Source organism: Homo sapiens, chromosome 4, assembly GCF_000001405.40.
Source record: "Homo sapiens chromosome 4, GRCh38.p14 Primary Assembly".
NCBI lineage: Eukaryota > Metazoa > Chordata > Mammalia > Primates > Hominidae > Homo > Homo sapiens.
The window spans coordinates 5,360,028-5,375,299 of NC_000004.12; the positions used below are offsets into that span (position 1 = coordinate 5,360,028).

At 44.7% G+C, this 15,272-nt stretch overlaps 1 protein-coding gene across 7 annotated transcripts in view, besides 3 other annotated features; it reads left to right on the top strand.

Annotated features, from left to right (window-relative positions):
- STK32B (serine/threonine kinase 32B) overlaps positions 1-15,272 on the top strand; it is a 481,604-nt gene that overhangs the window by 340,642 nt on the left and 125,690 nt on the right. The gene's annotated exons all lie outside the window — the stretch shown is intronic.
- Positions 5,361-6,560: an enhancer, noted in NCBI's record as "P300/CBP strongly-dependent group 1 enhancer chr4:5367115-5368314 (GRCh37/hg19 assembly coordinates)". NCBI's record gives its function as "activates an origin of replication core promoter dependent on BRD2, BRD4, P300/CBP, MED14 and CDK7 cofactors, with strong dependence on P300/CBP, by STARR-seq in HCT116 cells {active_cell/tissue: HCT116}" and the evidence as "EXISTENCE:reporter gene assay evidence [ECO:0000049][PMID:35650434]".
- Positions 5,739-5,818: an enhancer, noted in NCBI's record as "active region_21238". NCBI's record gives its function as "activates an Ori minimal core promoter by ATAC-STARR-seq in GM12878 lymphoblastoid cells {active_cell/tissue: GM12878}" and the evidence as "EXISTENCE:reporter gene assay evidence [ECO:0000049][PMID:35858748]".
- Positions 5,829-6,008: an enhancer, noted in NCBI's record as "active region_21239". NCBI's record gives its function as "activates an Ori minimal core promoter by ATAC-STARR-seq in GM12878 lymphoblastoid cells {active_cell/tissue: GM12878}" and the evidence as "EXISTENCE:reporter gene assay evidence [ECO:0000049][PMID:35858748]".

Here is a 15,272-nt window from a genome sequence, read left to right on the forward strand (position 1 = left end):
ACAGGCAGGAGGAGAGTGAAGCAGCCTTTCTACCTACAGGTGATGAGAAGGCAAGGCTCTTGCTGGAGATCAGAGGAATATTCCAATGGAAGCTCAGATAACCCGCCGTATACCTCTTTTGGCCAAACCAGCCACAGTTCAGTTGCCTGGAAAGACAGACTCAAAGAACACTTGTCCATTTCAAAAATTCCATTGTGAAGTGCCAGACCCAGTGCCACGTTCTGGGATGACAGAATTAGGGCACAACCATGCCAACCTGAAAAGCACTCCATGGGGGCAGAACCATGCCAGCCTTCAAAGTACTCCATGCCCAGCAGGGAAAAGACTAGATACGCTCACAGATTACAATAACAACGAAGACAGTGCCAAGTGCTTTGAGAGGGAAAGCCCTATGTCAAGAGAATGTCACTGGACCAGCCAGAGGAGGGAGTGCAGGTGAGATCAGACACCCTTTGTAGAATAGACCGTGTGTGCGCTCTACTGTGAGGGGCTGGTTGTTGTCTGATAATTGGAGATGTGGGGTGTTGGGGCCATTACTGATGCAAGAGGTACACAGCATGTTTTATGGTTTTATAGCTGGGAGAGAATGAAGCTGGAAAGCTGGAATAAAGATGTGGGGTTTTTAAAAGTTAGCTGGGCATGGTGGCACATGCCTGTAATCCCAGCTACTCGGGAGGCTGAGGCAGGAGAATCGCTTGAACCAGGGAGGTGGAGGACGCAGTGAACCGAGATTGTGCCATTGCACTCCAGCCTGGGCAACAAGAGCAAAACTCCGTCTCAAACAAACAAAAACAACAACAACAAAAACAAAAGCTGTGGTAAAATACACATAACAGATAATTTAGCACCTTAACAGTTTTTAAGAGTATTAAGTCCATTGTCAATGCTGTGCAACCAATCTCCAGAACTCCTCATTTTGCAAAACCGAAATTCTGTATCCACTAAACAATTCACTCCTCTACCCAGTCCCTGGTAACTGCCATTCTACTCTGTCTCTATGATTTTGACTATGGGTACTAGGTACTTCATATAAGTAGAATCATACAGTCTTCGTCCTTTTGTGACTGGCTTCTTTCACTTAACATAATATCTGCAAGGTTCATATATGTTGTAGCATGTGTACATCTATGCAGCATGTAGAATGATATTGCATTGTATGGTTGTATCACATTTTGTTTATCCATTCGTTGGTCAATGGACACTTGGCTTGCTCCCACCTTTTGGCTATTGTGAATAATACTGCTGTAAACTTAAATGTACAGATATCTCTTTGACACCCTGCTTTCAGTTCTTCTGGGTATATATTCACAAGTGGAATTGCTGGATCATATAGTAATTCTATTTTAATTTTCTATTTTTATTTTTGATTTTATTTATGGTGTCATCCAGGCTGGAGTGCAGTGGCATGATCGTGGCTCGCTGCAGCCTCGACCTCCCAGTCTCAAGCAACACCCGCACCTCAGCATCCCAAGTATCTGCGACCATAGGTGTGTGCCATCATGCCCAGCTAATTTTTCTATAGAGATGGGGTCTCACTATGTTGCCCAGGCTGGTCTCAAACTCCTGGGCTGAAGTGATCCTCCGACCAAGGATCAATGGCATAGGCCATATTGCTTGGCCTATTTCAATTTTTTTTGAAGAACGTCTGGACTAGAATTCTGTAATAAAGAGCTTAAACTGGACTAGAATTCTATAATAAAGAGCTTAAACTGCTGGACTAAGGAATTCTGATTTTATTATATAGGCCATGGGAAAGCAATGGTGTACTCTGGGAAGACATACATAGCGGGTATTCTAGGAGGGTAAAGATTTAGGTCGGGGTAGATCATTAGGAGATGGCTACAAATATTAATATCATGTGATACACATATAAAACATAATGTCAAAATCAGCATTGCAGTTTGGAAGATGCTAACCATTAGAATTAACCTTTCATATTCATACTAATTGAGGTTGCTTCCTTTTTTCACCACCATGAAACGAACTTGAAAATTATAAATGTTTTGGTGCAGAAACTAAATTTATCTCTGGAATAGTAAACAAGCTTACTTTAATGTATGAGAGACTTCATCATCATCAAGATGTATAGAACACATTTTTAAGCAATAAAAATTGTATGTTGGGAGCGAGGAACTCTCCGTGGTGCTGAAAATAGACATTTTACTTGTGTTCCTCGATTTAAAGTTGGAATCGCAGATATGAAGGCACAAATAAGTCATAGACAGTCAGCTAAGCCCCAGACATTGAATGAATAAATTTCAGCCTTTATGCACTCATGATCTATTTGTAAATTGTCAAGTGCCCCAATTCTTCCTCTCCCATTCCAACATCCACTGAAATTCAAAACCCTCCTGGTTCACCTCTCTGCCTCAATGCATCACCATCTCTCATTTGGGCTAATTGATGCGCCTTTGGATAACTAAGGGTACAGGTAGAAGACAGAAACCACCATGAGTCTTTGAAACAGAGGGCACTTTGTACAAGAAATTAGTGACACAGATGCCTTTCTTCTGTATTGTGGAGCAAATGGGATGATGGAACAGCCCTGAGATTAGCAGCAGCCAGGTCCCTGCAGTGGAAACTAGACCTTCAGAAGACCTGCTTGGTGAAAGCCTGACAGCCACCACGGAGGCAGGGGCTGTTTGATAAAAGCTGGAAAAACAGCAATGGAAGAGATGCATTTCTTCCAGAGGCATACCCAAAGAAGGCTGGGGTGAATACCCTGAATCCTCCCCAATTTCCACTCTCTAGTCTTCCATCTGTGCCTTCCCTGAGGCAAAGGCACCTGGACACTGGAGATCTGATCACTACCAGGCACATGACTAGTATAACCTTGTCTCTATGGTTATACTTAGTGCTTTCATCAATTCAACCTCCATACTGCCTGGGTGATTTCCCAAAAACTTTGTTGTGTTGTCACTCCAAACTCAGGCATTATGCCCTGCATGACAGCTACCATGACTTCACAGGAAACACATTGGAGATCTCAGTGCTTTGCCCTCTCTGCTGCCAAAGCATCTCACATACAACCACATTCCTGCCATCTTCACTTAACACATTTCTTCCACTAGGTTTCTGTCCCATGTTCTCATCATCAATATATCCCCAAAGCCTAACACGGTGCCTATCAGGAATGTTTAAAGGGTGAGCATAGAATGCAGTCATGAAAGTATACAAATTTTATAAATACATCTTTTATATAGATGTTTCAACAGTTTGAATTTTAACTTTAAAGGGTCTTGCATCATTTAATTTAATTTATGCACCTATTATTTCGCTTTGGCTATATTTTATGATTCCACTTTTTTTAGAGGTGTAGAAAATAAAGATTCAGAAGCTATGACTTGCCAAGGCCACAGGGTGATCCAGGGTTGGCACCAGATCCTGCCACTGATGTGTGACTGAGAGTCCAAAGCCTTGATGAGCTGTGTCCTGTGGGTTCTGGGCAGATTTTAACCATTAAAGGCAGACTCCAGACTTGGTGCCAGGTTCATGTCTTAGCTCAGTTACTAAGCCTGACATTGCTTTTTTTTAGAAATTACAGGGCTTGTCAAAGGCTGAGGCTTTTAGGCCACAATAGAATGACTTTTAGATCAAGACTATGAAGATCAGCTGGAGCAAACATGCTCTAATCAGCCAAAGAATTATGGGTGGAGAAAAGCATTTTTGAGCCTTTGTATTGTGACTATTTTTTGTTTTCTTTATTAATAGACGTGCTTGCTAATTGTGACACATGTCCTCTTACCTATGGGGGTTCTGCTGTGTGAGAGATTTTCCTTTGAAGTGTTTACCCATTATTTGCCATAGAAGAATCCAATTTTCATTGCTAATTAAATAATCTTAGTTACCGAGAAGGAAAACTCCCTCCTGGCATATTCAGATGAAATCAGCAGTTTCAAAATATGTATTCTCTCTCTATCCCTACTAAGTAGGTTAAGGTTCTGTCAATATTTACATAAACTAATGAATTATGAGAGATATATTGATCCATCCCCCTGCTGGAGGCATCCTTTTGAAAAAAAAATCAAACCATATCACTTTGCTTCTTAAAAACATTCACTGACCCCCCCCACTGTCCACAGGACAAAGTCTTAATGCCTTAGCACTGTCATTCAAATCCTTCAAGATTTGACCCCCTTAATTCTCACTTTTCCCACTGGTGCTTTAAGCTGCCAGGGTACAGCATCTTGTCATAATTGTTTGCACAAAAATTCAGAATGATAGAAACCCAAATCAAGCCAGTTTAAGAAAAAATAATTTTATTTTAGAAATAAAGTTCAGCATATCTGTTATTATTATTATTGGGCCTCAGTGAAAGAGAGAGAGAGAAGGGGAAAGAGACAGATCCTGCTTTGCAGGTCCCTGCTAGCTTCATTTGTCAAACATGCACTCTTCAGTGGGCTGGCAACATGCCTGCCAGCAAACCCCCACTGCCTGTGTCCAGCTGGGCCATTACAGTGGAAGGGGGTTTCTCTTTCACCAAATTCATATACCAACCCAAGAGAAGACTCTGATTGGTTATTTTTGAGTCGCACAACTAGCCAAGAGAAAATTCTGATTGGTTCTGCCTGAGTCACGTGACTATCCCTGAATGAGTTGAACCACGTACCACCTGTCTGGTGGGCTGTGCCCCAGGGACAGCCCCTCTAGAATCATATTCAGTAGGGAGAGGGATCCCCAAAGGAGCTAGAAGAAGAGAGCAGGAAATCATGCTAAGCAGAAGAAAAATGCTACTCCAGTCCCAACCCACACATATACCTTCAGGCCTCCATGTGTTCACAATGGTCTTTCAGCCTGAATGTCTCACTTCTAGCATTCTAGCAACCCTGCCTGGAAAAAAATGTTATTATTATTAATTATTATTTAGATGGAGTTTTTGCTCTTGTTGCCCAGGCTGGAGTGCAATGGTGCAATCTCGGCCCACTGCAACCTCTACCTCCTGGGTCCAAGCGATTCTCCTGCCTCAGCATCCCGAGTAGCTGGGATTACAGGCATCCACCACCACACCCGGCTAATTTTTGTATTTTTAGTGGAGATGGGGTTTCACCATGTTGGCCTGGCTGGTCTCAAACTCCTGACCTCAGGTGATCCACCCACCTCGGCCCCCCCAAAGTGCTGGGATTACAGGCATGAGCCACAGCATCGGGCCAAAAAATATTATCTCTTTAGTAAGCCTTACCAAATTCTACTGAACAATGTAATTACTTCCCCTTCTATGTTTTCACGGAACTTTGGCATACTTCTGTAATAGAAAAGATTTATTTACGTATCTGCCTCCTCCACCAGACCAAGGGTTTACTCATTTGAACTGTTTGGTGCATTTTGCACTCTTCACTGTGTCACACAGTGCCTGGCACACAGTAGGTTCTTGGTGTGTCCAGAGGAAGTGAGGGAATTGAGCAATTAGAACCTCTAACATTTCTCTAAAGGAAACTAAATATAACCTCTTTTTATTCTTATTGTAGAAGTCTGTCAATGTTCTCACCATTCATTCTGTTCACCTGCATTCTTAAAAAGCTGCATATCAAATAACACTCTGTTTTACAGCAGTGAAATTAGAGTCTGGGCTGGAGAGGAAACTTTCATGTTTGCAAACCTTCAACCCCACCAGTTGCATGAAAGTACAAAGAGTTTCTATTGAAAGTGGAAGCAGGTGGCATTCTCAACATTTTAACACCCATTTTCCCGTGGAGCATTGAAAAGTTAACTTGGGAGCTTGTCTTTGCTGTTGATGTTACTCATTTTTCAAAAGGGACTGATGAGTGAGTCACTGGGGAGAGGAAGTTACAAACGCGAGCGTGCATGTGTTTGCATGTCACAAAGGTATGCTGTTAACAATCAGGCCGAGGGCGTGGGATTTTAAAGGGCAGCGTGAGAAAGGACTTGATTTAGAGATTGTGACTCAGCACTCCACACTCCTCAGTGTTTACAGATGTGCCTGAAGAGTTGATGGGCAACTCACAGTTGCGCAGACTCTGGATACTTCCTCCTGCCGTGTATTTATTTCTGTAGGATGCATGCCTACCTGGAACCTACTTACAAAAGAAACTAGGCCAACCTGTCAATGGAAAGAGAGCAGGAGAGGTGGTGAGCCAAGGGCCCTTGATCCCCCACCTATTGGCTGTGCTCCGAGCAGAAAGTGGCCTCAATCCCCTGGGCCTTGATAGAGTTGGCATCCCTAAAAATGGGGATGGGGATGACAGCCTCAGAATTGCTGTGAGGGTTGAAGCAATAAAGGGAAAGAGTGCTGAGACTTGGGTGTGTTCCTTCACAGTTCATTCTGTTTGCTCGCACCTTCTTCCTCTTACCTTCCCAAAGGGTTTGACAAGGAGGAAAAATTAAAACAGAGTGGAATATTTATGAAGTAAAGCTTGAGCTTGGAGCTTGGCTCTGCCACTTGATCTCTGAGTCACAGGAACAAGCTTATTAATCTCCTGGATACTCATTTTTTTCCGTTGCTGACAGTGGAGATGAGACAAGATAACACAGAAGATTCTGGATGCTTTGGAGGTGCCAAGGCAACACCCATGAGGGAAAAATGTGCACAGCAACCCTACCGAGGAGGGCAAGAGGCACGGGTGGCCCAGTCACCCGGCCCAGGCGATGACTCAAATGGCTTATTAATGGGCTCTTTGCAAACATCACATTGAGTGAAAGCCCTGGGCATTTCACAAAAGCAGACATGGGTCAAAATCCTGACCTTGTCTTTGTTGAGCTTGATGCCAGATTCCTTGACTACTGAGTTTGGAAAGCAAATCTGAGTAAACGATATCAGTAGTGGCCCTGATGGTAGCTGCCATCCGTTGCGTACCCAGTGTGTTACAGGGTTCTACTGGGTGCATCCTGTGTACCTTCTCATATAGTCCCCACCACTACCTGGTTTGTTGCATTCTTAGCCACACCCCTCCCATTTAGCAGCTATGAGCATTAAGGCCCAGAAAAGTTAAGTAGGTTGTAGAAGATTAAAATGATAGTAAGTAGTGAAGGGAGTTTAAACTCACATCTGCCAACTCCAGTGTCCTCCACCTCCCCTTCTCTCCATGTTTAGATTTTAATTGCAGAAGAAAAAAAAGAAAAACTTCTTTTTCTCCTGGAAAGAATTCACATTTCCCCCTAGAACTAAGCTAAAATAGAAATGTAACACACGGGCCTTTCGTAAGACATTGAAGTTGCTCTTGTCACCGTCCAGTGAAAGGTCGGTTAGCCTCATGGTTTGGAAATACCACAGGGCAGCTCCAGGATAGTTCTTTATGCCTTTTGATTTGTCAAACAGAAGAGGAAAGATGCTTAAATGTGTGGTTGCACAGACAGAACTGGAGCAAAAGGGTGAACGTGACGGGGATGGTGGGTGGACTCTGCATCAGGTAGAGAAGGGTTTTGAGCTATCCATTCCTGTAGCCAACACTCTTTCGAGACTGCAGCTTGCTCCTTATTGACCACATGTTAGTGGAGGCTGGGGGGTCGCTGAGTAGGATGCTGTAGAAAGGACGGGTATGTGAATGGAGCATAGGGCTGGAAGGCCAGCAGACTCAACTGCCTCAATGCTAAAGCTCCCTCTGGCTTGTTGATATCAACCCAGTCAAGCCACCCATAGGGCTGCTAAACCCTGCTGAGTACAGGTCAACTTTTAAAAGAAGAATGTGCGCATGGCCAGTTTATTATGTGATCTCTGCCACTGGTCTATTTAAATAAAATAGTCTTTATTTTTATTGTATCCTTTCCCGTTTGTGCCATGGCAAATGTCTTTTCTCTGCTGGACAGCAGAGCCCATCTTGGGTGGATTCCATTATATTCCAGAAAACTTTAATAATTACAAGTCCAATCTAGTCCAGTTTAAAACTCCAATCTCATATAAGATTCAGACCTCTCCCTGTCCACATCGCCGCCCAGGGGTGGCTTAAGGAACCTGAGGTGGGGAGGGGGCTTCACTGCTCCGTCGTTTCTTTTCCCTCTGTCTCTTACCTTGAAATGTGAGTGTGGAGGTCAGGGTCTGCCTCTGAGATACCCACCCCCGATTTCTACCTCTTCTGGGTTTCTTGCATCTCTAATGTGTAAGTCAAAGAGGGGAGAGATGGAAAGGAAATGGAAAGCAAAACCCATGTTCGTCCTTTTGCTGTTGGGTGACTGGATTTTGACATCCTCTACCCGGAGGTGTCCCAATAGTAATCACAATGGCAAACTCACCACTTGTTAGGTCTGCCTCTAAGGGCTTTGCTTTCAGTAACTCACTAATCCTCACACAACGTCATGAGTTAGGTCTACTATTATTCCTAATTATAAATAATAAGGGCTTTGCTTTCAGTAACTCACTAATCCTCACACAACGTCATGAGTTAGGTCTACTATTATTCCTAATTATAAATGATAAGGGCTTTGCTTTCAGTAACTCACTAATCCTCACACAACGTCATGAGTTAGGTCTACTATTATTCCTAATTATAAATGATAAGGGCTTTGCTTTCAGTAACTCACTAATCCTCACAACAACGTCATGAGTTAGGTCTACTATTATTCCTAATTATAAATGAGAGCACTCAGGTACAGAGAGGCACTGCAATGTGCCCAAGGTCATAGGGGATGTAAACCCAGGTAGCCTTGGTGGTCGATGGCCTCATCTCTCATGAGTCATGAGTGAGTTCTTAAGAGGGCTGGCAGGGACTGCTTGGCATGAGTATTCCAGGGTGAACCCTCCATCTTCCACCTTCCTGCAGTTCCTGTCCTCTGAAAAACACCCCAGAAATCCACTGCTGGTGTCCTCTTGCCTGGGGACACTGTGCAAGCCCAGCTAAATGCTTTCATATGCTCCGCAGGAAGCTCATTCATCCTTGCCATGCCAGATGCTGGGGCAGAGGAGGGGTTGCTTTCCCACTCTCCTCTTCTCTTCCTTGCTGTGGCAAAGATGGCTACTGTCCTCCAGCAGCTGTCCTTCCCATGGTCTGTAGTATTAGAATTGTAGCTGGGCATGTGGACACAGAGCTGTCCACATCGCACCCCACAATCCCTGCCTCCCTTGCATTAGCTGTGATTGTGTGACTGGGTCCTAGCCAATGAGGTGTGAGCGGAAACATGGCAAGGCAGCTTCTAAGAACTCCTTGAAGATCTGGCTGACACTTACTCTTCGCCTCTCCTCCCACTCTTCTTCCATCTCGCTGCTTGGATTGGAGATATGAGGCCCAGAGCTTCATCCTAGTGGGTAGAGAACCACACCCTAAGCATGGCAGAGTGAGCCTGGTTCCCCCAAAGATTTCACAGTGCCCAGCTGAGGGACCAGCTCCAAATCATTTACCTCTAGATTTCTACATGAGAGAGACATAAATTTCTTCCTTTAGTTAAGCCACAGTCATCTAGGAGCCAAAACTAATTCTTGCTCATCTGTCTACATCTCATTTTCATTCTTTCTTCTGCTGCTTAGATCAGCAGAGGGCAGGCAGCAGGCTCACTGCCCAAGAAACCATGCAGCCAGGGGACAGAATGCAAATCATCAGTTCTTGCAGGCAGCTCTGATGTCTACCTGTGGGACTCTTTAGCCCCTCTCTTGGCTTCAGAAGGTGGGCGTCCTCATGGGCAGGGGAAGAAAAGGTATAGCTCCTTCTTCATGCTGACACATCATGCCTGCTTGTTTCTGCTCTACCCTCATGGTCTTTGTATTAATACATGAGAGTTTGGGGTGAGGGGTGAATGGTTGCCAGGCATCAGACCAATTGTGCCAAGATTTGATGCATCCCTTCCTTGAGCCTGGTGGCCAGGCAACATGAGGATTTCAATCATGATCCTATTAGGTGCAGTTTCCAGATACAGGCTAAGAGTAATCATCAAGGTAGCTATCAAAGAGTATATTTTTTTTGTTTGTTTGTTTGTTTTTTTTTGAGACGGCGTCTTGCTCTGTCGCCCAGGCTGGAGTGCAGTGGCACGATTTCTGCTCACTGCAAGCTCCGCCTCCTGGGTTCATGCCATTCTCCTGCCTCAGCCTCCCGAGTAGCTGGGACTACAGGCGCCACCATCACGCCCGGCTAATTTTTTGTATTTTTAGTAGAGACGGGGTTTCACCATTTTGGTCAGGCTGTCTCGAACTCCTGACCTCAGGTGATCCGCCTGCCTCGGCCTCCCAAAGTGCTGGGATTACAGGCGTGAGCCACCACGCCCGACCCTCAAAGAGTATATTAAGCAGAATTATATGGAGCAATTCATCATATAATTATATGGAGCAATTCACCAGGCTGCAAGCTCCTTGCAGACATCTTGTTCGCTGTGGTATTATCATTGGCTGACTTGGTACCTGCCACATTGGAGCTGCACCATATTTGTGAATGAATAAACACATCAATGAATATATTCTTTAGAAACTCTTTGGAGAGAGGTAAATCCTAAAGAGTGACTAATGACATCAATGGGTAAAGATGGTTGTGAAGAGAGTGAGTCAGAGGTTTGTTTACACTTCTGTAATGATGAACAATCTTATTCAAGCAAATGGGAGCCCCACGTCAAGCCCAGTGTTCAGTGTGTAAAAGAAGCTTCTGGGCTTGGATGCTTCCAAGAAGCAGGTGACACAGAGCAAAGTCACTGGACTTCACTGCCACAGAACGTGGGTTGGAGCCCTAGTGTTGCTATGTACTGGCCATGGGACCTCAAATGAGGTTTTCACCTCATCTGTTAAAAAAAATTGTTTAAAAAAATTATTCTGACAGCCGGGCATAGTGGCTCATGCCTGTAATCCCAGCACTTTGGGAGGCTGAGGTGGATGGATTGCTTGAGCCCAGGAGTAATCCCATCTCTACAAAAAATAAAAATAAAAAAAATTAGCCAGATGTGGTGGTGCATGCCTGTAGTCCCAGCTACTCAGGAGGCTGAGATGGATGGATCACTTGAGCCTAGGAGGTCGAGGCTACAGTAAGCCATGATCATGCCACTGCACTCCAGCCTAGGTGACGAAGCAAGACACTATCTAAATATATATATATGTGTGTGTGTGTATATATATATATATGTATATATATGTGTATATATATGTATATATATGTGTGTGTGTGTGTATATATTCTAACACTTGTTAAAATGGTAGGGAAGACTTTATTCAGGACTATTGCAGTGAGTGTAAAGTTTATCACAATGTTGCAGAGAAATGGAATTTAGCTCAGAATCACAGCAAAGACAGCTGGGATTACAGCCAATGAGCAGAAGGAGGGATCAGTAGATGGAAAATGACTAAGAGGAGACATCAAGGTAGGGAGCTTCTTGATAAACTGACTTAACAGGATTCCTGCTAAAGACAGGCCAAGGGCTTATACATCAAAGGTAGGGGAGGAGGAATTGGATCAGATATGGAGGGTGATCCAATATCAAAGGTGAGGGTTTCTTGCTAAAGTGACTTAGCAGGAATCTTGCTAAAACTGGATTTAGCAAACCAAAGATGGGTCTCGAGGATGAGGCCTAGGAGAAAAGCAGGTTCAGGGGAGCCTGTCTAAAGTTTGGTTAAGGAGAGAGTCTTTGTCATTCCTGAGCCTGATTCTTGTCTTATTTCCCTCGCGCGGTTGTTGTAAAGACAACACCAGGCCCAGCCGGCTGAAGGGGAGGTGGGAGGCTGGAATCCAGCCCTGGCTGTGCTCTGCGTGCCAAGCAAACATTTGCCAAAGGGGCCAGATCATAAATATTTCAGGCTTGCATACCACAGGGTCTTTGTCAAAATTACTCAACCCTGCCACTGCAACAAGAAAGCAGCCGTAATAAACAGTGCATCTGTGAACAGCATTGACTGAGTTCCAATGAAACTGTATTTCCAAAATCAAGACTTGAGCCCCAGGACAGAGTTTGCTGACCTCTCTCTCTGGAGGGAGTCTTTTCCCAATTCAGACAAAAGTACTGTGTAAGCTCATTTCCCAGGTGGTGGCAATACCCCATGGGGCTGAAAGCACCTCCATGCAGAACACACACAGGTGACTGCAGAGATGTCCTTCTGGGCACAAGCCACTTCTCTCCAGCCCTGGAAACAGGCCAGGATGTGGGCTGCATTGGTCACACTCATGCCTGCAGGCAGGCGAGCAGATACAGCAGATGGCACAGAAGGGACAAACACTATAACCTTAGCCAACAGCTGAGCAACCCCTTGGAGGAGAATGCATACCTGCAGTCAGAAGGGCTTACATGTGAGAAAGTAAAGTCAAAGGATTGGGGACCGTGGCAAGCAGCAACAGAACAGTAAATGTGGAAACAGAGAGTCAGGTGCAGATTCTGATGAATGTCTGACCCATGAGTGAAGGAGGAGCAGCACCTTTTGAATCATGCTGTAGCTCTGGGTACTTCCCTGGGTCCTGCCATCTCTGTCCAGCCGGGCTGTAGGTGGACTTGGTTAATTTACCGAAAATGCCATGATGGTGCTGTCATTCTTTTTGCAGGAGCCCTGAAGCTTCAGGTAGCCCAGGACTCCCGACCTCTCACTCCCTTAGCACACATTCACATTCGAGACACGGCCATTACTATTCAATATTACCATCCTATTAAGGAAAGTGTCAGTAATCTAATATTTCATCATACACTAGACCAAAAATTTCAGAATGTTTAAAAAGGAGAAGATGACAACTCTGTTCCCATCTTTTCTGGGTCAGTGGACTATTTAATAAAATTTCAGCTCTACCTGTATCATTACAGTAATAACTGCATCTACACACTTCGAGCTCGTGGCCTCAGCAGGAGAAAGTTGGGGGGGGGGGCGGTTATTTCAGACTAATAGGTCCAGCTCTTCCTTTCTGCCACGCATCAGTATTTCTTTCTTGAATTCAGATTGATTTTTGCAAGGGATTTTATGCTATGGAGCATGAAAGCCTAGTTTTCTGCCATGAGCCCAATAAAGTTTATGATTGGGTTCAGCATGGTTGAGCCTCTTCAGGACATAAGACCCATGACCCAAATGAGGAATCCTCATTTCATTCATTTGAAGTCAATAAAGATTGAATATTGAATATATGTCAAGTATTTCATTCACAGCAGTTGGGAGTCGTGATTGGAATTGCTGTGGGGTCAGCCTATAAAGCCAGAAAAAGCTTTGTGGAGGGTGGGGAGGGGAGAAAGCTTTGAAACTGTGATTTGGCCTCAAGTGGGACTCAAACAGAAAACAGAGTAAGGAAAGGATGCTCTGGTTTCTAGGCACTCATGCATATAGCTCGCCCAGCTATATTAGGATTCTCCAGAGAAACAGAACCAATAGGATATGTGTGTAGGAAGGAAGGTTTACCATGAGGAATTGGCTCAGATGACTGTGGAGACTGGCAAGTCCCAAGATCTGCAGTGGGAGCCAGCAGGTTCAACACCCATGTGATCCAATGGTGTAGTTTCTGCCTGAAAGCTGGCAGATTCAAGACCCAAGAGAAACCCCCATGTTTCAGTTTGAGTCCGAAGGTAGTAAAAAGCCAATATCTCAGTTTTAAGGTAGTCAGGCAGAAAAAACTCCCTTTTTCTCAGGGGAAGATCAGACCTTTTGTTCTAGCCAGGCCTTCAACTGATCGGACAAGGCCCACCCCCTCTTAAGGGAGGCAACCTGCTTTACCCAGTCCACCAATTTAATTATGAATCTCATCCAAACACCTGGGAATCACTGGGAGCAGACACCTGCATAGCAGCCCACACACCTTTGTGTCCCCCTTATCTCCCATCTGCAGGGCCCCTAGGAAATATCTCAGGAATCCGCCTCTCTCCCCATCCCACCGATTTTGTCCCAGATCTTGACTGATGCAGTCTTCTCTGCCATTCTCACTCCACACAGCAAAGTGCTGTCTCTGCAATCTGAGTATGTGGGTCCCCCATGATCATGCTTCCAAGATGGTTTCAACCTTTGTGATTTCTGCTCTATCTACACACCAACAAATACTACCTACTGTAATTGAATTGTGTTCCCCCAAAAGTAATGTCCACCTGAGACCTCAAAAATGCAACCTTAATTGAAAATAGGATCTTTGCCGGTAAGAATAAGGATGAGGTCATACTGGATTACAGTGAGCCCTAAATCCAATGACTGATGTCTTTATAAGAGACAGAAGAGGAAATGCAGAGGGGAGAAGGCCATGTGAAATGGAAGCAGGGAAGTGAGTGATGCAGCCACAAGCCAAGGAATGCCAGGAACCACCAGAAACTGAAAGAGGCAAGAAGAGTTCTCCCTTAGAACTTCAGGGTAACACCTTGACTTTGAAATTCTGGCCTTTGTATTTTGAAGCCACTCAGTCATGGTCATTTGTTACAGAAGCCCTAGGAAACTAATTCTCTATCTTCATGATTTTTGCTTTATCTGGAAATCATCTGTACTACTATTTGAATAACATTCTATAATAGACAAAATGCTTTTTGCTAAGATAAGTGTGTTTCAAAAAGACGCTTCACATCAGTCCCTTAAAGAGGAAAGAGTTTGTCATAAATATAAGGACTAATAATAGAATGGATTGATGTCTTAGCCCATTCAGGCTGCTGTGACACAATACCTTAGACTGGTTCATTGATAAACAACAGAAATCTATTTCTCACAACTCTGGAGGGAGGAAGTCCAAGACTGAAGAATCAGTGTCTGGCGAGGGCCTGCTCCCCATAGAAGATGCTTCTGTATGTCCTTAAGTGGTAGAAAGGGCAAGGCACCTCCCTTCAGCGTCTTTTATAAGGGTATTAATCCATTCACGAGGGTGGAGTCTTCACAGCTTAATCATCTCCTAAAGGTTCCACCTCTTATACTATTGCATTGAGGCTCATGTTTCAACATATGAATATTGACGGGGGCGGGGGGGGAACACCAACGTTCAAACCACAGCAGTGAGCATAAAAATAAATACAGTGAGACCAGAAAAATGCTGTTAAGTGCCAGCTAACACCACTGCCTGCCAAGGGTGCCTGACAATGTCTGTTCTTTCTTCCCTAAAAGCGGAGATTAGCAAGCGTCCAAAGTTAAGGAGATACTAGAGTCCAATTGAGACTCCTCTTTGAGGTAATTAGAAGGATTGAGTAGGAATTTCTAGAGAAGAACCTTCTCCTCCCATGAGCCAAGGAACCAATGAACCCGAGTGAGGTCAATGTGAGCGCCTGTAAGTCCCCTCCCACCCCTGGTGGTCTCACCATCTGGCTTCTGAAACTCCAGGCGCCCAGCCTGCCATGCACACCCTTCCGTGATCTTGCCACCCCAACTGCTGTCCAGCCTCGTCCCCCACTCTGTCTGCTGCATCCACCCCCAGTCCTTCCAGCTCACTTGCAATTTCACAGCCATGCCCTTCTGCTATTCCCCACCATGCCTGTACACAGCCTGC